General features: G+C 40.0%; 1 annotated feature.

The window, feature by feature from the left end:
- Positions 5,286–5,786: an enhancer, noted in NCBI's record as "H3K27ac hESC enhancer chr10:74741016-74741516 (GRCh37/hg19 assembly coordinates)". NCBI's record gives its function as "activates a minimal SCP1, AML or CMV promoter by ChIP-STARR-seq in naive H9 embryonic stem cells {active_cell/tissue: H9 hESC(naive)}" and the evidence as "EXISTENCE:reporter gene assay evidence [ECO:0000049][PMID:30033119]".

The following is a 25,512-nucleotide window of genomic DNA, read 5'->3' as shown; positions in this document are numbered from 1 at the left end:
TGAGTCTTCACAGCAGCATTATTCATAATGGCCCTGAACTAGAAACAACCCAAATTTCTATCCACAGTGAAATGAGTAATCAAACTATGGTATTGCCATTTAGAGTAATACTCAGTAATAAAATGAACTAGTAGTGATATATACAATGATATATATGAATCTCCAAAAATGCTGAGTGAAAGAAGCCAGGCATGAAAGAGTAAATACTCTATAGTTACATTTATATGACACTGTAGGAAAGAAATTTATAGTGATTAAAAAGTAGATCACTGTTTGCCACGGGCAACAGTGGGGTGGGAGTAGGGTGGGAATTGACATGAAAGGTGCACAAGAGACATTCTGGGGTGATTAAAATGTTCTATATCCTGGTGGTTCTTCAGGTGCATACATTTAACAAAGCTCATTTTATAGTATATTTAAAATATATGCATTTTATTCGATGTAAATTATTCATTAAAATCTACTTTTTAAAAATTAGCAAACAACCAGGCAATGTAAACCATGCATCAAAAATATTGTGACCAAGTATCATGTATCCCAAGAATGTAAAGATGGTTCAACGTTTTAAAAACCTGTTAATGAGGCTGGGCGTGGTGGCTCATGCCTGTAATCCCAGCACTTTGGGAGGCTGAGGCAGGAGGATCACTTGAGGTCAGGAGTTCGAGACCAGCCTGGCCAACATGGCAAAACCCCATCTCTACTAAAAATACAAAAACTTGCTGGGCATGGTGGTGCATACCTGTAATCTCAGCTACTTGGGTGGCTGAGACAGGAGAATCACTTGAACCCAGGAGGCAGAGGTTGCAGTGAGACGAGATAGTACCACTGCACTCCAGCCTGGGGGATAAGAGTGAAACTCCGTCTCAAAAAAAAAAAAAATCTGTTAATAAAATCCACAATATTAGTAGATATGTTGTTAGGGAAAAGTATTTGACACCCATTTATGATTTTAAAAATAAGATACTCCTTGAAAACTAGTAGAAGGGAACCTCCTTAACTTGATTAGCGGGATCTACCATAAGCTTCTAACGAATATCACACTTGATTGTGAAACTAATTTTGAAACACTTTAGATAATGCCAGAAATAAAGTCAGAGTGCTTGGTAGCACTTCTTCCACTCAAAATGGTTCTAGATGTGTTGATAATATAAGAAAAAGAAAAGAAGTATGTGGCAGATAATTTAGAAAACCTCACTCTGCCTATTCCAATTCTTACTTTCATATACCAAAGAAGCTGAAAGCTAAAATATTTAAAAGACTTCCATATCTGTAAGAATCTTCCTAGGCTTCGTCAAGCAAATGTACCCCAGAACAATATATGGCAGCAATTGCAAGAGGAGACTGGATCTTTTGTGGTAAGCCTCATGATGGTGGCACCTGGTTCTTTCAGAGCTTCTGTGACACAGTTTCTGGCATCTATCTATCTATCTATATATATAGAGAGAGATGAGGTCTTGCTCTGTTGCCCAGGCTGGAGTGCAGTGGCACAATCATAGCTCACTGCATCCTTGAACTCCTGGGCTCAAGTGATCCTCCCACCTCAGCCTTCTAAGTAGCTAAAACTGCAGATGTACAACACTGTCTGGCTAGTGTCTTAAGTATTGAGTGGCAGCAGTAGTAGGTTGGAAATTTTATTTGCCATATAGCATCCAAGTTCAACACTCGCATAGATTTTGTGACCTAATTGATCATTTTTAACTACTTTTTGCTTAAATTGTTGTGTTCTAAGCAGTAAGAGTCTTACTACTTAACTATTCTTGGAAATAAAAAGTAAAACACACTCAGCATCAGGCCAGGCACAGAGTGAGCGCCCAGTAAGTGGTGCTCACTGTTATTACAGTTAAGCTAAATAAATTTCATAGAAGAATGAGTGAAACTGAGCCATAAAGGATGCATCAGATTTAACCAGGCAGAGGAAGCGTTTCAGGAGAGGAGTGTGGTAATTAAAGACTGTGTGCCAAAGACAGTATGCTATGCTTCTTTAGTCTGGAGGTGAATTTAAGTTACATGAAGCAAAGATAAGGTGATACCTATGAAGTTGAATATTTAAAAAGCCTCAACTGGTCAGGTTATCTATTATAAACTTGTGGTTTTTTAAAAAGTATTTTACTATTAATACAAGAATTATATATTCTACTTCCACTTAAGTTTTTTTTTTTTTTTTTTGAGATGGAGTCTGGCTACATTGCCCAGGCTGGACGGTGACATAATCTCAGCTCACTGCAACCTCTGCCTCCTAGGTTCAAGCAATTTTTGTGCCTCAGCCTCCCAAGTAGCTGGGATTACAGGCGTATGCTACCACATCTGGCTAATTTTTGTATTTTTGGTAGAGGCGGGGTTCCACCATGTTGGCCAGGCTGTTCTTGAACTCCTGACCTCAAGTGATCCATCCACCTCGGCCTCCCAAAGTGCTAGGATTACAGGTGTGCGCCACCACACCCAGCCCCACTTAAGGTTTCAATTGAAGAGTGGCTCTGCTGCTTCTGGAATAGAGAGTATGTGGGGCTGTGAATTGGGAGAGCTGAGTTTTAGTCCCAGCCAGGGTCAGCTTCGTGGGTGCCATCCCCCCAGAAGAGCCCCATGCTTGGTTTAATGTTCTGCTGTCACCGTCTTGAAGTTCTTAAAATTTTTATCTTTGAACTCGTGTTCTGCACATGAAATCTAATGGGCGAGTAGAGCATGTAGGTGAGCAGTGGAGACACAATCGGATCTGTGGGCACAGGAGGAAGCTGAGGTACCCCCGACATGTCTACTATACACGCCTCAGGGCTGTTCAGGTCTCTGCAGGAACTTGAGGCAGCTGGGATTAGCCTCAGTAAGATTATCTTGCCAATTTCTCAGCAGAAATCTTAGAGGCCAGAAGCAGTGGGATGATTTATTTATTTGTTTATTTATTTTTATTTACTTGAGACAGAGTCTTGCTCTGTTGCCCAGGCTGGAGTGCAGCAGTGCAATCTCGGCTCACTGCAACCTCTGCCTCCCAGGTTCAGGCGATTCCCCTGCCTTAGCCTCCTTGGTAGCCAGGATTACAGGCGAATGCCACCATGCCCGGCTAATTTTTTTATTTTCAATAGAGACAGGGCTTCACCATGTTGGCCAGGCTGGTCTCAAACTCCTGACCTCAAGTGATCCACCCACCTCAGCCTCCCAAAGTGCTGAGATTACAGGCATAAGCCACCACACTCGGCCTGAGATGATACATTTAAAGTGCTGAAAGGAAGAGAAAAAAAAAACAACTGATGGCATCTTTGATTTTCTTGTTAAAAAATTATATATATATATATATAAATTAAAAACTTTTAAAATTTAAAAACATCAACTGAGAATTATCCGGCAAAGCTGTTCTTCAAAAATGAGGGAGAGATTAAGACATTCCCAGATAAATAAAAGTCGAAGGAGTACATTACCACTACACCTGCCCTACAAGAAATGCTCGAGGGAATTCTTCAGGTTGAAATGAATAAATGCTAGACAGCAACTCAAAGCCACATGAAGACAGAAAGATTTTTATTAAAGGTAAATGCATGGGCAAATACAAAAGATTACTATAAAAGATTATTATAATTTTGTTTTGGAACTCCACTTTTTATTTTCTAGGGGATTTAAAAGATAAACACCTAAAAAGTGATTATAAATCTATGTTATTGGGCATATAGTACATAAAGATATAATTTGTGACATTCATAAAAGGATGGGTAGAGCTAAATAGGAATAGGGTTTTTTTTGTATATGATTGAAATTAACTTGGTATCAACTCAAGTTATATTGTTGTAACTTTAATGTGTTGTATGTAATCCCCGTGGTAACCACAAAGAAATATCTATAGAATATACACAAATTAAATGAGAATGGAATAGAAATGTGTCACTACAAAAAAAAAATCAACACAAAAGAAGGCAGTATGGAGGAAATGAGGGACAGAAAAAGTTATCAAACATACACAGAACAAATAGCGAAATGGCAAGAGAAAATCCTTATCAATAATTAAATGTAAATAAACTCTCCAACTAAAAGGCAGAGATTAGCGAATATGGATTTAAAAAAAAAAATGATCCAAGTACATCTTGTCTATAAGAGGCTCCCTGTAGATTTAAAGATAAAGAGGTTGAAAATGAAAGGCTAGAAAAAGATATTCCATGAAAACAGCAAGTAACCAGAAGTGATTTGAGGTGACTGTCCTAATTTTAGACAAAATAGACTTCACGTAAAAAAAAAACTGTTACAAGAGACAAAGGACACTATATATTGATAAAAGGGTCAATTCATCAAGAAAGTATAACAAATATAAACATATATGCACCTAACACAAGAATCCAAAAAAAGTAAGTATTGACAGAATTGAAGGGAGAAGTATACAGTTCTACAGTAATAGGTATAGAATATCTCTCTTTTAATAATGGATAGGACAACCAGACAGAAAATTACTAAGGAATTAGAGGACTTGAACAATACTGTAAAACAATGGACCTAAATACACATACAGAACGCTCCACCTAACAGTAGAATACACATTTTCCTGAAGTATACATAGAACATTCTCCAGAATAGACCACATTTTAGGCTACAAAACAAGTATTAATAAATGTTAAAGGATTGAAAGCTAAGATTTGACTGGAGTGTTGACGGGAGAGCACTAGAGTGCAGCAGGGGAGGGGAGATGCAGCTGTGGTGATTGGAAGTTCAGGAGGACAGTATGGAGGCATCCGGCCACTGCAACCTTGTACCCTACTCCACCTGGCCACTATTCCCCAGATAGGATCTGCTCAGAGTTAGTAGGGACTTTGTGTTGCAGGGAAAAGGTAAGCAGAAGATCTCCACCAGCCTCCTTTGCCACCAGAAACACCTACAGTCCTTACAACAGGAGAATCCCATATCCCTCACAAGCCTTGAGCCCAGTTTGGAGAACTGCCAGGAATTCATGCAGCTGCATTGCCCCAGATTAGGTGCACTCCCCACCCCCACCCTCTGTGAACCAAGCTTCTGCAGCATGACACCATCTTGAGACAACAGCCACCTCTGGTGTGCTTCCTGCCCTGGGGGCCAGTAGCCATTGCACTTCTCCAGTACTGGGACTCCCTCTTCATTCCACCAAGCCTATAAGGGTAGCTGAATGTCACAACCCCAGCTGTGTGGAGCCTGGGCCCAGGATTGGCTGTGACTCTGACCCTGCATAGCAGGGAAACCAACCCCTGCCAATGCACTTCCAGCTGGAAGATCAGCCTGGCAGTCTCACTCAGTGCAAACCTTCCCTTGACCTGGCCAAACTGTGGCATGCTCTCCCCTAAGCAGTAGAAGCCCCTGAGCAGCTGATACACCCCTAGGCCAGCGGAGGAGCTATGCATATACACTGACACTCAGGACCCAAGAAACAGCTCTGCAGAGCCCCCAATCCCCACAGATACACCCCTAGCCTGCCCAAAGGCCCTATTCTCACAATCAAGGCCTGAGAAACAGTCCTACAGGGTGCTCCTAGAAGGCATTCCCCCAGGCTGGCCAAACAGCTGTATGTGTACCTGTGATCGAGGCTTTTGAAGTAGCCCCATGGACTGCCCCTAGCAAACACATCTGCAGACCACCTGAACTGCCATGCAGCTGTGTCTGTGGCCTGAGAAAAAGCCCTACAGGCCATCCTAGTTAGGTACACCCCTAGCAGCCTTGCAGCAGTATTCCAGATTTGAGAAGCAGCCTCACAGGACACCCTCAGTGGACTCACCCCTAGGCCAGCCAAGTAGCCCTGTGCCCACATCCCAGGCCTACAAAACAGCCCTATGGGCCATCCCCTGCAAAAATGCCCCCAGGCTAGCTGAGCAGCTGTGCAGCTGTGTCATGAGACTTAGAAACAGTCCTGTACCTGCTCCTGACAAACACGCCCCCAGGCCAGCCAAGCAGCTATGCAGTCAAGTCCTGGACAAGAAAACAGTAACATGGCCCACCCTCAACAGATACCACCAGGCCAGCCAAGCAGCCTTGTGCCTACATCCCAGGCCTGAGAAGAAGCCTCGTGGGCCACCCTTGTAAGACATATTCCCAGGGCAGCCAAGCAGCACCAAAGTCCTGGATCATAGAAACAGCCCTGTGGGCCACCCCCAGCAAACATGCACCCAGGCCAGCCAAGCAGTCATATGCCCACCCCTGAGAAGCAGCCTTATGGGCCACCCCTGACAGACATGTCCCTAGACTGGCCAGTCAGCCAAGAGCTCATGTCCTGGACCTGAGAAATAACCCTGTGGGCCACCACCAGCAGACCTGCACCCAGGCTAGCTGAGAAGCCATGTGATCATGTCCCAAGCCTACAAAACAACCCTGTGGATCATTCCTGGCAAACACACCCCAGGCCAACTGAGCTGCCATGCTATGTCCCAGGCCTGAGAAACATCCCCCAGGCCAGCCAACCAACTTTGTGCCTGTGCTTCTGGCCAGCGTAACAGCCCCATACCCTCAACCCCAATGAGTCAGACTCCAAGTTGGCTGACCCACTGCATGCATGCACATGCCCCTAACCTGAGAAACAGCCTGGCAAGCCCACACTTGGCAAAGCCACACCACAATCACCACAAACTCTCTCAGCCTAGGCCACTAAGAAATATACAAGCATCATTAGTACGGATTACAGCTGAAGCAACTACATAGAGACTATACTACTACTGCATCCCCTAGAAATCAATGCACCCCACCAAACCAATAGCCCAAGACTCATTCATACAAATAAAATTTTCCCCATCACACCAACTCCATAAAAATGGAAGAGGCAACTTCTGTACCAGAGGCGTAGAAATCAATGTAGGGATACATCAACCATGAAAAAGCAAGGAAACATGACACCTCCAAAGGAAAACAATAATTCTCCAGCAACAGACTCCAATCATAGGAAAATATATGAAATGCCAGAAAAAGAATTCAAAATGATAATATTAAGGAAACTCACTAAGCTACGTGATAATACAGATAGACAATTCAATGAAACCAGGAAAACAACTCATGATTTGAAGGGCAAATTCACCAAAGAGATGGACAGTTATAAAAAAAAAGAATGAAGCAGATATCCTAGATAATTTAATGAATGACATAAAAATACAATTGAGAGCTTCAACAGTAGACTATACCAAACAGAAGAAAGAATTGCTGAAGTTGAAGACAAGTCTTTTGAAATAACACAAAAATAGACAGGAAAAGAAAATAAAAAAGAAAAATGAAGAAAGCTTACAGGATTTGTGGGACACCATTAAGTAAACAAATATTTGTATTATGGGCATTCTAGAAAAGAAGGGAAAAGGTGAGGATAACTTATTTAATGAAATGATAGCAGAAAACTTTTTCCAAGTCTTGGGAGAGAGATGGACATCCAGGTCCAGGCATCTCAAAGAATAAATATATTTTACCCCACACAGATAATCTGAGGCACATTCTAGTCAAATATCAAAAGTCAAAGCTAAAGAAAGAATTCTAAAAGCATCAAGAGAAAAGCAGCAAATCATGTATAAGAGAGTCCCCATTAGGCTAAAACTGGATTTCTCAACAGAAACCTTATAGGCAAGGAGAGAATGGGACAATATATTCAAAGGACTGAAAGGAAAAAAAAAAAAAAAAAAAAAAAAAAAACCTGTTGGCCAAGAATATTATACCCAGCAAAGCTATCCTTCAAAAATGAAGGAGAAATTTCATCACTAGACCAGCTTACAAGAAGTGCTCAAGATAGTCCTACATCTGGAAGTGAAAATATGATTATCACCAGAATGAAAATATGAAAAATATAAGACTCACTGGTAGTGCTGATATACAGGGGAAAAAGGAAAAGGAATCAAACCTTATCACTACAGAAAACCACTCAATCACTAAAATAACAGAGGAAGTAAGGAACAAAGGATATATAAAACAGAAAACAATCAATAACGTTATAGGAATTAAGTCCTCACCTATCAATGGTAACCTTGAATATAAATTGATTAAATTCTCCATTTAAAAGATATAGACTGGCTGAATGGATTAAAAAAAATGACTTAACTCTATGCTGCCTACAAGAAATTAATCTCACCTTTAAAGATACACACAGATTGAACGGGAGGGGATGGAAAAAGATATTCCATGCAATCGGAAACCAAAATCACGCAGGAGTAGCTATACTTATATCAGACAAAACAACTTCAAGTCAAAATCTGTTAAAAGAAAAAGAGAGAGAAGGACATTATATAGTACTAAAGGGATCAATATAGCAAGAGAATATAACAATTGTAAATAAATATGCACCCAACACCAAAGGACTCAGAAGCAAATATGAGATCTAAAGAGATAGACCCCAAAACAATAATAACTGGGGACTTCAACACCCCATGTTCAGCATTAGATGGATCATCTAGACAGAAAATCAACAAAGAAACATCAGATTTAAACTGTACCATAAACCAAATAGACCTAACAGACATTTATAGAACATTTCACCAAACAGCGGCAGAATATACATTATTTTCATCAGGACATGGATTGGATTTTCCAGGACTGACCATATTTTAGGACACAAAATCGTTCTCAAAAAAATTTTTTTAAATCAAAATATATTAAGTATCTTATCTGACCACAAATGGATAAAACTAGACATCAATAACAAGAGGAACACTTGAAACTATATAAATACACAAAAATTAAACAGCATGCTCCTGAATGACCAATGGGTAAAGGAAGAAGTTAAGAATGAAAATTAAAACTTCCTTGAAACAAATAAAACTAGACATCAATAACAAGAGGAACACTTGAAACTATATACATGCACAAAAATTAAACAACATGCACCTGAATGACCAACGGGTAAAGGAAGAAATTAAGAATGAAAGTTTAAAACTCCTTGAAACAAAATGAAAATAGAAACACCAAAATCTATGGGACACAACAAAAGCAGTATTAAGAGGCAAGTTTATAGAGGTAAATGCCTACATCAAAAAAGTAAAAAGGTTTCCAATAAACAACCTAGTAATATACCTCAAGGAACTAGAAAAGAACAAACCAAGCCCAATATTGATAGAAGAAAAAAAAAATCAGACCAGAAATAAACAAAATTGAGACTAAAAATACAAAAGATCAGTTAAACAAAAAGGTTTTTTTTTGAAAAAATAAAATCAACAAACCATTAACTAGACTAACAAAAAAAAAAAAAAAAAGAGAGAGAGAAGACCCAAATAAAATTAGAAACAGGCCTAACATGGTGACTAATGCCTGTAATCCCAGCACTTTGGGAGGCCAAAGTGGGTCGATCACCTGAGGTCAGGAGTTTGAGACCAGACTGGCCAACGTGGCGAAACCCTGTCTCTACTAAAAATATAAAAATCAGCCAGGTGCCTATAATCCCAGTTACTCAGGAGGCCAGGGCAGGAGAATTGCTTGAACCCGGGAGGTGGAGGTTGCAGTGAGCTGAGACTATGCCACTGCACTCCAGCCTGGGAAACAGAGCGAGACTCTATCTCAAAAAAAGAAAAGAAACAAAAAAGAAGTTGTCACAACACAACAGATACCACAGAAATATAAAGGATCATTAGAGACTAATATGAACAACTATTCCAATAAATTTAAAAACCTAGAGAAAATGGATATATTCCTGGACACATACAAACTGTCAAGATTGAACCAAGAAGAAATATAAAGTCTGCAAAAACCAATAACAAGTAATGAGATTGAATCAATAATAAAAAGTCTCCCAGCAAAGGAAAACACAGGAAGAGATCTACTGAAGCTTTAAAGAATTAAAACCAATTTTGTCAAACTATTTTAAAAAATTGAAACAGAGGGAATTCTTCCTGACTCCTTCTATGAGGTCAGGATAATCCTGATAACAAAACCAGAAAGGACACAACAAAAAAGAAGACTACAGGCCAATATCCCTAATGAACATAGACACAAAAATCCTCCACAAAATACTAGCAAGCAAATTCAACAGTACCTCAAAAAGATAACACACCATGATCAAGTAGGATTTATCCTAGGAATGCAAGGATGGTTCAACATACACAAATCAATAAACATCATACATCATGCATCAATAGAATGAAAGACAAAAGCTGTATAATCATCTCAATAGATGCAGAAAAAACATTTGATAAAATTAAACATCCCCTCACAATAAAAACGCTTTTTTTTTTTTGAGACAGTGTCTCACTTTGTCACCCAGGCTGGAGTGCAGTGGCATGATCTTGGCTTACTGAAGCTTTGACCTCCCAGATTCAAGTGATCCTCCTGCCTCAGCCTGCCAAGTAGCTGGGACTATGGGCACATGCCATCACACGTGGCTAATTTTTTTTATATTTTTTGTAGAGACAGGGTTTTGCCATGTTTCCCAGGCTGGTCTCGAACTCCTGGACTCAAGGGATCCACCTGCCTCAGCCTCCCAAAGTGCTAGGATTATAGCTGTGAGCTACCATGCCTGGCCCACAATAAAAACTCTTAAGAAATTAGATATACGAGGATATTATCTCAACATAATAAAGGCCATATGTGACAAACCCATGGCTAACATCTTACTGAATAGAGAAAACCTAAAAGCTTTTTCTCTAAGAACTTGAACAAGACAAGGATGTCCACTCTCACCATCTTTTTTTTTTCTCTTTTTTTGAGACAGGGTCTTTTCTGTCACTCAGGCTAGAGTGCAGTGGCATGATTATAGTTCATTGCAGCCTTGACCTTTTGGGCTCAAGTGATCCTCCCACCTCAGCCTCCTGAGTAGCTGGGACTACAGGCACATGCCACCACACCCAGCAATTTTTTTTTTTTTGGTATTTTTTTTTTTTTTTTGTAGAGATAGGATCTCACCATGTTGCCCAAGCTGATCTTGAACTCTTGGGCTCAAGTGATCCACCCACATCAGCCTCCCAAAGTGCTGGGATTATGGGTGTGAGCTACCATGCCCAGCCTACTCTCACCACTCTTATTCAACGTAGTACTAGAAGTCCTAGCTAGAACAATTAGGCAAGAGAAGGAAATAAAGGACATCCAAATTTGAAAGGAGGAAGTCAAATTGTCTGTTTGCAGAGGACATGATCTTAAATACAGAAAAACCTAAAGACTACTAAAAAACCCTTGGAACTGGGAAAAAATTCAGTAAATTTGCAGGTTACAAAATCACTATACAAAAATCAGTAGTGTTTCTATACACCAGCAACAAACTAGCTGAAAAAGATATCAAGAAGGCAATCTCATTTGCAATAGCTACAAAAAATAAACACCTAGGAATAAATTTAACCAGGGAAATAAAAGACCTCTCCCTACAAGGAAAACTGAAAAACACTGATGAAAGAAATTGAAGAGGATACAAATGGAAAGACATCTCCTGCTTATAGATTGCAGAATATTGTTAAAATGACAATACCATTCAAAGCAATCTACCAATTCAATGCAATCCCTATCAAAATGCCAATTGCATCCTTCACAGAAACAGAAAAAATAATCCTAAAAAGTGTTTGGAACTCCAACAGATCCCAAATAGCCAACGCAATCCTGAGCAAAAAGAAGAAAGCTGGAGAAATCACACTACCTGATATCAAAATATACTACAAAGCTGTAGTAACCCAAACAGTATGGTACCCAAACAGACAAATAGATCAACAGAACAGAATAGGGAATCCCAGAAATTAATCCATATTACAGCTAACTGATTTTTAATAAAGGTACCAAGAATACTCATTGGGTGAAGGACAGTCTCTTTAATAAATGGTGCTGGGAAAACTGGATATCCACATGCAGAAGAATGGAACTGGAACCCCACCTATTACCTTATAGGAAAATCTGTTTAATAATAAAAATGGATCAAAAACATAAATGTAAGACCCAAAACTATCAAACTGCTAGAAGAAAACAGGGGAAACACTTCAGGACATTCATCTAAGAAAACATCTTATGAATAAAACCTCAAATGCACAGGCAACAAAAGCAAAAATAAACAAATTGGATAATATCAAATTACAAGGCTTCTGCACAGAAAACCACAAAACAAAACGATCAACAGAGTGAAAAGACAACCTATAGAATGAGATAAAATGTTTTCAAACTACTCATCTGATAGGAGATTAATATCCAGAATCTGTAAAGAACTCAAAGAGCTCAACATAAAAAAAACTCAGTCTGATTAAATAATGAGCAAATGATCTGAATAGACATTTTTCCAAAGACGACACACAAATGGCTACAAATATATGAAAAAATACTCAGCATCACTAATCATCAGAGAAATGCAAATCAAAACCACAATGAGGTATCATTTTACCCCAGTTAGAATGGCTACTATCAAAAAGATCGAAAAATAACAAATACCATCAAGGATGTAGAGAAAACGGAACTCTTATACATTGTTGGTGGGAATGTAAACTAGTTTTGGAGAATAGTATGGAGATTCCTCAAAAAACCACAAATAGAACTACCATGTGATCCAGCAATCTCACTACTGAGCATTTATCCACAGGAAAGGAAATCAGTGTATCAAAGAGACGTCTTCACTCCCACGTTTATTCCAGCACTATCCACCATAGCCAAGAGATAGAATCAACCTAGGTGTCCAACAACAGATGAATAGGTAAAGAAAATGTGGTATATATATATATATATACACAATGGACTGCTATTCAGCCATTAAAAAGAATAAAATCCTGTCATTTGTGGCAACATGGATGGAACTGGAGGACCTTATGCTAAGTGAAATAAGCCAGGAATAGAAAGTTAAATACTTTCTGTTAAGTATAATAAATGAATATGTTCACACTTTTATGTGAAAACTAATAAATGTTTATCTCACAGAAGTAAAAAGTAGAAGAGAGGATACTAGATACTGGGAAGGGTGGGAGGAAAGGAGAGATTTGTTAAAAGATACAAAATTACAGCTAGACAGGAGGACTAAGTTCTAGTGTTCTGTATCACTGTAGGATGACTCTAGTTAATAATAATATATTATATAGTTTCAAATAGCTAGGAGGAGGATATTGAATGTTTCAAGCACAAAGAAATGATAAATGTTTGAGATGATGGATATGCTAATTACCTGGATCTGATCACTATATATGTATCGAAACATCACTATGTAGCCCCCATGTATATATATAATAATTATTATTATTTTTAGAGATAGAGGTCTCATTCTTTTGCCCAGGCTGGAATGCAGTGGAGCAACTATAACTCACTGTAGACTTGAACTCCTGGGCTCCAGTGATCCTCCTGCCTCAGTCTCCCAAGTAGCTGGGACTACAGGTACATGCCACCACATCCAGCTAATTTGTATTTGTTTATTTATTTATTTATTTTTAGATGGGGTTGGGGGACTTGCTATATTGCCTAGGCTGATTTCGAACTCATGGCTTTAAGCAATCCTCAGCCTCCTGAGCAGCTGAGATTACAAGCATGAGCTACCAAGCCTGGCTTATTATTTGTCAATTTAAAATAAATAAAATTAAAACTGGAAAATTCATAAATATATGGAAATTAAACAATGTAGTCTTAAACAACCAATGGGTCAAAGAAGCAAACACAAGAGAAATTAGGAAATACCTTGAGACAAATGAAAACATAAATACAATATATTAAAACTTATGGGATACAGTAAAAACAGTGCTGAGAGAGAGATTAATAGTTGTAAGTAAACATATTAAAAAAGAGGGAAGATCTAAGTAAATAACCTAACTTTATACCTTAAAGAAATAGAAAAGGCCAGGCACAGTGGCTCATGCCTGTAATCCCAGCACTTTGGGAGGCTGAGGAGCGGGGATCACCTGAGGTCAGGAGTTCAAGATCAGCCTGGCCAACGTGGTGAAACCCCGTCTCGACTAAAAATACAAAAATTAGTCAAGCGTGGTGGCACATGCCTGTAATCCCAGCTACTCGGGAGGCTGAGGGAGGAGAATCGCTTGAACCTGGGAGGCGGAGGTTGTAGTGAGCCAAGATCACACCACTGCACTCTAGTTTGGGCAACAAGATTGAAACTCTGTCTCAAAAAAAAAAAAAAAAAAAAGGAGAGCAGGCTGGGTGTGGTGGCTTGTGCCTGTAATCCTAGCACTCTGGGAGGCTAAGGCGGGTGAAATCACTTGAGGTCAGGAGTTTGAGACCATCCTGGCCAACATGGTGAAACCCCGTCTCTACTAAAAATCCAAAAATTAGCCAGGCATGGTGGCACACACCTCTAGACCCAGCTACTCTGGAGGTTGAGGCAAGAAAATCACTTGAACCTGGGAGGTGGAGGTTACAGTGAGCTGAGATTATGCGCCACTGCTCTCCAGCCTGGGCGACAGAGTGAGACTCCGTCTCAGAAACAAAAAAAGAAAAGAAAAAGAAGAGTAAACTAAACCCAAAGGTATAAGGGGGAAGGAAATAATAAAGATTTGAACAGAAAAAAGTAAAATAGAGAATAGTAAAACAATGGAGAAAAATCAACAAAACCAAAGCTGGTTCTACTAAAAGATTAACAAAATTGAAACCTTTAGCTAGAATGACTAAGTAAAAAAGAAGACTCAAATCACTAAAATCAGAAATGAAAGTAGGGACATTACTACTAATTTTACGGAAATAAAAAGGGTTATAAGGGAATACTGTGAACAACTATACATAAGCAAATTGGATAACCTACATGAAACATACAACTTCCTTAAAAATGCATGATCTAGTCGGCCGGTTAGCTCAGTTGGTTAGAGCGTGGTGCTAAAAATGCATGATCTGCCAAGATTGAATAATGAAGAAATAGAAACAGACTTATGAGTATGGGATTGAGTCAGTAATCAAAAATTTCCCAATAAAGAAAAGTCTTGGACCACATGGCTTCACTGGTGAATTCTACAAAACATTTAAAGAATTAATACCAAACCTTCTCAAATTTTTCAAAAAGCTAAAGAGGGGAGAATACTTTCTCACTTATTCTTGAGACAGAGTCTTGCTCCGTCACCAAGGCTGGATACAATGGCACGATCTTGGCCCACTGCAAACTCTGCCTCCCGGGTTCAAGCGATTCTCCTGCCTCAGCCTCCCAAGTAGCTGGGATTACAGGTGCCTGCCACCACGCCTGGCTAATTTTTTTTTTTTTTTTTTTAGTAGAGATGGGGTTTCACCATGTTGGCCAGGCTGGCCTCGAACTCCTGACCTCAGGTGATCCACCTGCCTCGGCCTCTGAAAGTAACTTTCTCACTTATTCTAAGAACCCAGCAAAACTCTAATCCTAAAGCCAGACACATACTACAAGAAAACTACAGACCAACATCCCTCACAAATAAAGATGCAAATATCTCATCAAAATACTAGCAAGGCTGGGTATAGTGGCTCACACCTGTAATCCCAGGACATTCAGAGACCAAGGCAGGAGGATTGCTTGAAGTCAGGAGTTTGAGACCAGCCTGGGCAACATAGTGTGAGACCTCTTCTCTTAAAAAAATAAAATAAAATAAAATAAAATTAGCCAGGCATGGTGGTGTGAGCCTGTAGTTCTAGGTACTTGGGAGGCTGAGGCAGGAAGATCACTTAAGCCCAGCAGTTTGAGGCTGCAGTGAGTTATGATCATGCCAACATACTCCAGGTTGGGCAAAAGAGTGAGACCCTGTGTCTATAAACAAACAAAAAGTACTAGCAAATTGCCAGGCTCAGTGGCACACATCTTTATTCCTACTACTCAGGAGAGAGAAGCAGGAGGATTACTAAAGCTTAGAATTTAGAAGCTGTAGTATACACAATCATGCCTGTGAATAGCCACTGCACTCCAGCCTGGGCAACATAGTGAGATTCTGTTTTTTTATTATTTTTGTTTTGATTTTGTATTTTTAGTTTTTGGGTTAAAAAAAATTTTTTTTTGAAACAAGGTCTTACTGTCACCCAGGCCACAGTGCAGTGGCATGGTCGTGGCTCACTGCAGCCTTGACCTCCTGGACTCAAATGATCCTCCTGCCTCAGCCTCCTGAGTAACTGGGAATATAGATGCATCCACTGCATCCAGATATTTTTAAATTTTTTTTATAGAGGTGGAGTCTTGCTATGTTGCCTATTGTCCAGGCTGGTCTCAAACTGCTGGTCTCAGGTGATGCTCTTGTTTTGGCTTCCTAAAGTGCTGGGGTTACAGGCATGAGCCACTGTGCCCAGCCAAGACTCTTAAAAAATACTAGCAAATCAAAATCAATAATAAAGTTTAAAGGATTATACATCTTGATCAACTGAGATTTATTCCTGAAATACAAGGATGGTTCAATGTATTAAAAAATCAATTAAGGCTGGGTGTAGTGGCTCACGCCTGTAATCCCAGCACTTTGGGAGCCTGAGGTAGGCAGACTGCTTGAGGTCAAGAGTTCAAGACCAGCCTGGCCAACATGGTGAAACCCTGTCTCTACCAAAATACAAAAATTAGCTGGGCATGGTGGCAGGCACCTGTAATCCCAGCCACTAGGGAGGCTGAGGCAGGAGAATTGCTTGAGTCCAGGAGGTGGAGGTTGCAGTGAGCCGAGATGGCGCCACTGCACTCAAGCCTGGGCGACAGAGCAAGACTCCGTCTTGGGGGAAAACAAAACAAAACAATAATGTAATACCCCACTTTAATACAATGGAGGGGAAAAACTCACACAATCAATTCACTTTATATAGAAAATGCATCGGGCAAATTTCAATACCCTTTCATGATAAAAACACTCAACACACTAGGAATAGACAGAAACGTTCTTAATGTGATAGAGGCCATGTGTGAAGAACCCACAGCTAACATCATACTCAAGGGTGAAAGACTGAAAGCTTTTTCCCTAAGATCAGGAATAAGACAATAATACCACCTTATATCACTTCTGTTCACCAGAGTATTAGAAGTTCTAGCCACAGCAATTAGGATAAAATAAAGCAACAAAAGGCATCCAAATTGGAAAAAAAGAAGTGAAAGAATCTCTGTTCACAGATGACATAATCTTATATGTAGAAAACTCTTAAGATACATGTGCACGTGTGCACAGACACACACACACACACACATACACATTGTTAGAACCAAAGAATGAATTCAGCAAAATTGTAGGATACAAAATCAACACAAAAAATAAGTTGCATTTTATACATTAATAATTGACAATTGATAAGGAAATTAAGAAAATAATTCCATTTATAAAAGCATCAAAGAATAAAATACTTAGGAAGAAATTTATTCAAGGAAGTGAAAGTCGTTTTTGTTTTTGTTTTTTGTTTTTTGTTTTTTTTTTTGAGATGGAGTCTTGCTCTGTCGCCCAGGCTGGAGTGCAGTGGCGCGATCTGAGCTCACTGCAAGCTCTGCCTCCTGGGTTCATGCCATTCTCCTGCCTCAGCCTCCCAAGTAGCTGGGACGACAGGCGCCCGCCACCATGCCCAGCTAATTTTTTGTATTTTTAGTGGAAACGGAGTTTCACCGTGTTAGCCAGGATGGTCTCAATCTCCTGATCTTGTGATCCGCCCACCTTGGCCTCCCAAAGTGCTGGGGTTACAGGCATGAGCCACTGTACCCAGCATGAAAGTCTTATATACTGAAAAATATAAAGCATTGCTAAAATAAATCAAAGGAGATGTAAATAAATGAAAAGACATCCTGTGTTCATGGACTGGAAGACTTAATATTGTTGAGGTGACAATATTACCCAAAGTCGTCTATAGATTTGATGCAATTCCTATTAAAATCCCAATGATTTTTTGCAGAAATAGAAAAGCCCATCCTAAAATTCATGTGGAATCGTAAGGATCCCCAAACAGCCTAAACAGTTATGAAAAAGAACAAAGTTGGAGAACTCATATTTCCTGATTTACAAAACTTGATATGGTGCTGGGTGCAGTGGCTCACGCCTACAATCTCAGCACTTTGGGAGGCCGAGGCTGGGGGATCATTTGAGGTCCGGAGTTTAAGACCAGCCTGGCCAACATGGTGAAATCCCATCTCTACTAAAAATACAAAAATTAGCTGGACATGGTGGTGTGCTCCTGTAGTCCCAGCAATTTGGGAGGTTGAGGCAGGATAATTGCTTGAACCCAGGAGGCGGAGGTTGCAGTGAGCTGAGATCATGCCACTTCACTCCAGCCTGAGGGACAGAGCGAAACTCTATCCCAAAATAAATAAATAAATAAACCAAAAAACTTGATATGGGTTTGGGGAGAGGTGTGGAACAAGATGGCAAAATAGGAGGTACACCATTTGTCCTCTCTGAAGGAACACCAAATTTTAACAGCTAACTTAACACAAAAAGCGTCATCACAAGAACCAAAATCAGGTGAGCAATTGCAGTACCTGGTTTTAACTTTATACTACTGAAGGAGGCACTGGAGAGGGTAGGAGAAACAGTCTTGAATTGCCAATGCCACCCCGCACCCCCACAACCACCATTCAGCATGGAGAAATCTATGACCTTGGGAGAGGGAAAGTACAGTAACTGGGGGAACTCTCTCTCTCTTTTTTTTTCCTGAAACAGGCTCTCGCTCTGTCACTCAGGCTGGAGTGCAGTGGTGCAATCTTGGCTCACTGCAACCTCGACCTCTGCTCAAGCAGTTCTCCTACCTCAGTCCCAAGTAGCTGGGACTACAGGCACATGCCACCATGCCTGGTTAAATTTTATTATTTTTTTTGTAGAGATGGGGTTTTGCCATGTTGCCCAGGCTGGTCTCAAACTCCTGGACTCAAGTGATCTACCCACGTCGGCCTCCCAAATTTCTAGGATTACAGGCATGAGCCACTGTGCCGGGCCAACTGGGGGACTTTACATTGGACGTGGTGCTTTCCTGACACAGCAATGAGCAAGCTGTGCTGGGCTCAGCCAGTGCCCATGCACAGAGACAGATTTAGGACCAGCCCTAGCCAGAGGGGAAGTGCCCATGCCAGCAGTAAGAACTGAGTTCTCACCACCATGGCCAAAGTGCTCTGGGGTTCTAGGTAAACTTGAAAGGCAGTCTAGGACACAAGGATTGCAATTCCTAGGCAACTCTTGGTGCTGGGCAGGACTCAGAGCCAGTACACTAGGGTGGCATGTGACTTAGGAAGATAACAGATGGGGCAGCTAAAGGTGTGCTTGTGCTACCCCTCCCCACACCTCAGGCAGCCCACCTCACAGCAATGAAAGTGTCTCCTTCCTTCTGCTTGAGGAGAGGAGAGTGAAGAGTTAAGAGGGCTTTGTATTGCATCTTGGATACCAGCTCAGCCACAGCAGGATAGGGTACCAGTCAGTCATGAGGCCCCTGTTCCAAGCCCTAGCTTCCAGACATTTCTAGACACACCCTGGGCCAAAAGGGAACCTGCTGCCTTGAAGGGGAGGATCCAATCCTGGCAGGATTCATCACCTGCTGACTGAAGAGCCTTTGGGCCCTGAATAACCAACAGTGATACCCAGGGAATATGCCGTGGGCCTTGGGCTCTGAGAAGGGCTGGATTCACGTGTGACCCAGCACATTCCCAGGTATGGTGTTACAGTGAAAGACTCCTTCTGTTTGAGGAAAGCAGAGGGAAAAGTAAATAAAACTTTGTCTTGTACCTTAAGTACCAGCTCGGCTACAGTGGGGTAGAGCACGAAGCAGGCTCTTGGGGTCCTTGAGTCCAAACCTAGGCTCTTGGAAACCATTTCTGGACCTGGGCCAAAGGGGAGCCCACTGCCCTGAAGGGTGAGTTCCAGGCCTGGAAGCATTCACCACAAGCTGACTGAAGAGCTCTTGGGCTTTCAGTGAACATTGGCAGTGGCCTGGCAGAACACCCCTTGGGCCACTGGTGGTGATGCCCAGAGAGAGGCTCCTCTGCTTGCAGAAAGGGGAGGGAAGATCAGGTGGGACTTTGTCTTGTGGCTGGAGTACCAGCTTAGCTGCAACAGAACAAAACATCAGGTAGATTTCTAAGGTTTTTGACTCCAATCCCTCACTCCCAGACAGCATCTCTGGACCCATCTGGGGCCTGGGGAGCTTGCTGCTCAGAACAGGGAGGGACACAAACCTGGCTGGCTTTGCCACCTGCTGATTGAAGAGCCCTAGGTCCTTGAGTGAACATAGGTGGTAGCAAGGTAGTGGTTACACCAGGCTTTGGGCAAGACCCAGTGCTGTGCTGGCTTCAGGTCTAAACCAGCACAGTCCCAATAGTGGTGACCACAGGGGTGCTCGTGTCCCCCCAGCCCCAGTTCCAGGCAGCCCAGCACAGTGAAAAAGGCTTTGTTTGGGAGAACAAAGTAAGAGAAAGTAAGGGAAAAAAAACAAGTGTCTCTGCCTGGTAATCCAGAGAATTCTTCTGGATTTTATCCAAGCCCACCAAGGCAGTACTTCTGTAAGTGTGCAAGAACCACAGTGCTACTGAGTTTAGAGCCCAAGTCCCTTCCAATCCTGGGAAAGCTTTCCTAAGCAGAATGGGCACAAACAAGCTCAGACTGCAAAGACTACAATAAATGCCTATCTCTTCAATGCCTAGACACCCATGAACATCTACAAGCATCAAGACCATCCAGGAAAACATGACCTCACCAAACAAACTAAATAAGTCACCAGGGACCAATTCTGGAGAAACAGAGATATGTGGCCTTTCAGACAGAGAAATTATTAAAATGAGTCAAGCAGAAATTCTAGAGTTGAAAAATGCAATTTAAATACTAAAGAATGCATCAGAGTCTTGTTTGTGTTGTTGTTGTTGTTTTTTGAGACAAATCTTGCTCTGTTGCCCTATGGAGTGCCAACATGTCTGACAGAAGACTTTTCAGTAGAAACCTTACAGGCCAGGAGAGGGTGGCGTGACACATTTAAAGTACTGAAGGAAAACACTTTCACCCTAGAATAATATATCTGGTGAAAATATCCTTCAAGCAAGAAGGAGAAATAAAGACCTTCCCAGACAAACAAAAGCTGAAGGCTTTCATCAACACTAGACCTATCCTACAAGAAATGCTAAAGGGAGTTTTTTAATCTGAAAGAAAAGGAGAGTGATGAGCAATAAGAAATCATCTTAGCTGGGCATGGTGGCTCATGCCTGTAATCCTAGCACTTTGAGAGGCACAGGAGGGCAAATCACTTAAGCCCAGGAGTTCAAGACCAGCCAGGGTGACGTGGTGAAACCTTATTTCTACTAAATAATAAATAAATAAAGCAAGTCAGAGTGGTAACATGCACCTGTAGTCCCAGCTACTTGGAAGGCTGAGGTTGGAAAATTGCTTAAGCCTGGGAGGTCGAGGCTACAGTAAGACATGATTGTGCCACTGCATTCTAGTCTGGGTGACAGAGTGAGATCCTGCGTATCTATATAAATCATCTGAAGGTATAAAACTCACTAGTAATAGCACACAGAAAACACAGAACATTGTAACACTGTAATCGTGGTGTATAAACTAGTCTTAAGTAGAAAGACTAAATGAACCAATCAAAAATAATATCTACAACTACTTTAAGACAGTACAATAAGACATAAAGAAAAACAACAAAAAGTTAAAAGTGGAGTAATGAAGTTAAAGTGTACAGTTTTTATTAGTTTTCTTTTTGCATGTTTGTTTATGCAATCATTGTTAAGTTGTCATCAGTTTAAACAGAGGATTATAAGATAATATTTGCAAGCCTCATGGTATCTTCAAATTGGAAAACATACAACATGGCTGGGCATAGTGGCTCTCGCCTGTAATCCCAGCACTTTGAGAGGCCGGGGTGGGTGGATTGCCTGAGGTCAGGAGTTCAAGACCAGCCTGGTCAACATGGCAAAACCCTGTCTCTACTAAAAATACAAAAATTAGCCAGGCATGGTGGTACATGCCTGTAGTCTCAGGTACTCGGGAGGCTGAGGCAGGAGAATCACTTGAACCTGGGAGGCGGCAGTTGCAGTGAGCCAAGATTGCACCATTGCACTCTAGCCTGGGTGACAGAGCAAGGCTCCATCTCAAGAAAAAGAAAAGAAAAGAAAAACATACAACAGATACCCAAAAAATAAAAAGAAATTAAATCATACCAGAGAAAATCACCTTTACTAAAAGGAAGATAGGAAGGAAGGAAAGAAGAAAGAGAAGACCACAAAACCAGAAAACAAATAACAAAATGACAGGAGTAAGTCCTTACTTATTAATAACATTGAATGTAAATGGACTAAACTCTCCAGTCAAAAATGGCTGAACGGATAAAAAAGCAAGACCCACTGATCTGTTGCCTACAAGAAACACACCTCACCTGTAAAGATACACATAGACTAAAAATAAAGGGATGGAAAAAGATATTCCATGCCAATGGAAACCACGAAAGAGCAGCAGTAGCTATACCTATATCAGACAAAATAGATTTCTTTTTTTGAGATGGAGTCTCGCCTTGTCACCCAGGCTGGAGTGTAGTGGGGCAATCTCGGCTCACTGCAACATCTGCCTCCCTGGTTCAAGCAATTCTCCTGCCTCAGCCTCCCAAGTAGCTGGGATTACAGGCACATGCCACCATGCCCAGCTAATTTTTGTATTTTTGTAGAGATGGGATTTTACCATGTTAGCCAGGCTGGTCTCGAACTCCTGACTTCAAATGATCCGCCCACCTCAGCATCCCAAAGTGCTGGGATTACAGACATGAGCTACCATGCACCTCTATGCCCAAAATAGATTTCAAGACAAAAACTGTAAGGAGAGACGAAGAAAGTCATTATATAATAATAAAAAGGTCAGTTCAGCAAGAGGATGTAACAATTTTAAATATGTATGCCCCCAACAGTGGAGCACCCAGATATATAAAGCAAATATTATTAGAGCTAAAGAGAGAGAGAGAGAGAGACACCACAATACAATAATAGCTGGAGACTTCAACACCCCACTTTCAGCACTACACAGATTTTCCAGACCGAAAGTTAACAAAGAAACATTGGAGTTAACCTGCACTACAAAACAAATGGACCTAATAGATATTTACAGAAAATTTCATCCAACAGTTGCAGAATGCACATTCTTTTCATCAACACATGCATCATTCTCGAGGATATTCCATATGTTAGGTCACAAAACAAGTTTTTAAACATCAAAAAAAACTGAAATATAAGCATCTTTCTGACCACAAAATAAAACTAGAAATTAATAACAAGAATTTTTGGAAACTATACAAACACATGGAAATTAAACAATATCTACTGAATGATCAGTGGGTCCATGAAGAGATTAAGAAGGAAATTGAAAATTTTCTTGAAACAAATAATGGAAACATGACATACCAAAACCTACAGGATATAGCAAAAGCAGTACTGAGAAGGAATTTTATAGCTATAAGTGTCAACATCAAAAAAGAAAAATTTCAAACAAATAACCTAATGATGCATCTTAAAGTACTAAAAAGCAAGAGCACAGCACACCAAACCAAAAGTAAAGAAAAAGGAAATAAACATCAGAACAGAAATAAATTTGAAAAGAATACGAAAGATCAACGAAACAAAAAGTTCATTTTTTGAAAAGATAAATAAAACTTACAAACCTTTAGATAGACTAAGAAAAAAAAAGAAAATCCAAATAAATAATCAGAGCTGAAAAAGACATTACAACTGATTCTGCAGAAATTCGAAGGGTCATTAATGGCTCCTATGAGCAACTGTATGCCAACAAATTGAAAAATCTAGAAGAAATGGATAAATTCCTAGACACATATAACCTACCAAGATTGAACCATGAAGAAATCCAAAACCTGAACAGATCAGTAACAAGTAACAAGATCAAAGCCACAATAAAGTCTCCCAGTAAAGAAAAGCCTGAGACCTGATGGCTTTACTGCTGAATTCTACCAAACATTTAAAGAAGAATTAATACCAATTCTACGTAAACTATTCTGAAAAATAGAGGAAGAAGGAATACTTCCAAACTTATTCTTTAAGGCCAGTGTTACCCTGGCTTTAAAGACAAAACATTCAAAACCAGACAAAAACATTTAAAAAAAACTACAGGCCAATATCTCTGATGAATATTGATGCAAACATCCTCAACAAAATACTAGCAAACCAAATTCAACAATACATTTAAAAGATCATTCATCATGACCAAGTGGGCCAATATATGTAAATCAATCAATGTAATACAGCATATCAACAGAATGAAGGACAAAAATCATATGATCATTTCAATTAATGCTGGAAAAGCACTTGATAAAATTCAACATATCTTAGTGATAAAAATCCTAAAAAAAAAACAAACTGGGGATAGAAGGAACATACCTCAACACAATAATAGCCATATATGACAGACCCACAGCTAGTATCATATGGAATGGGGAAAAACTGAAAGTCTTTCCTTTAAGATATGGAGCATGACAAGGATGCCCACTTTTACCACCATTATTCAATATAGTACTGGAAGTCCTAGCCAGAGCAATAAGACAAGAGAAAGAAATAATGGGCCTCCAAATTAGAAAGGAAGAAGTCATATTATCCTTTTTTGCAGATGATATGATCTTACATTTGGGAAGACCTAAAGACTCCACCAAAACACTATTAGAATGGAAAAATTTAGTAAAGTTGCAGGATACAAATTCGATATACAAAAATCAGTAGTATTTCTACTACAGTGAACAATCTGAAAAAGAAATTTAAAAAGTAATCCCATTTACAATAGCCCCAGATAAAATTAAATACCTAGGAATTAACCAAAGAAGTAAGAGATCTCTATAATGAAAACTATTAGACACTGATGAAAGAAATTGAAAAGGACACAAAAAAATAGAAAAATATTCCATGTTCAATGATTGGAAGAATTAATATTGTTAAAATGTCCATTACTATCCAAAGCAATCTACAGATTCAATGCAATCCCTATCAAAATACCAATGACATTCTTCACAGGAGTAGAAAAAACAATCCTAAAATTTATACGGCACCACAAAAGACCCAGAATAGCCAAAGCTATCATGAACAAAAAGAACAAAACTGGAGAAATCACTTTACCTGACTTCAAATTATACTACAGAGCTATACTAACCAAAACAGCTTGGTACTGGCATAAAAACAGACACATAAACCAATGGAACAGAATAGAGAATCCAGAAACAAATCCACATACCTATAGCGAAATCATTTTTGACAAAGATGCCAAAAACATACATTGGGGAAAACAAAGTCTCTTCAATAAATGGTGCTGGGTGAACTGGATACCCATATGCAGAAGAATGAAACTTGACCCCTGTCTCTCACCACATGCAAAACTCAAACTAAAATGGATTAAAGACTTAAATCTAAGACCTCAAACTATGAAACTACTACAAGAAAACATCAGGGAAACTCTCCAGGACATTGGTCTGGAGTGATACCCTGCAAGCACAGGCAACCAAAGCAAAAATGAACAAATTAGATCACATCAAGGTAAACAACAACAACAACAACAAAATTCTGCACAGCAAAGAAAACAACAAAGTGAAGAATCAACCTACAGAATTGGAGAAAATATTTGCAAACTACTCATCTGACAAGAGATTAATAACCAGAATATATAAGGAGCTCAAACAACTCCACAGGGGGAAAAAAAAGTGAATTATTCAATTTTAAAAATAGACAAAAATTCTGAGTAGCAATTTCTCAAAAGAAGATATATGAATGGCAAAGAGGTATATGAAAAGGTTCTCACATCACTGATCATC

This window comes from Homo sapiens, chromosome 10 (genome assembly GCF_000001405.40).
Source record: "Homo sapiens chromosome 10, GRCh38.p14 Primary Assembly".
NCBI lineage: Eukaryota > Metazoa > Chordata > Mammalia > Primates > Hominidae > Homo > Homo sapiens.
Note: the sequence above shows the minus strand (reverse complement) of the source record. Positions and strands in the feature narration are given on the sequence as shown.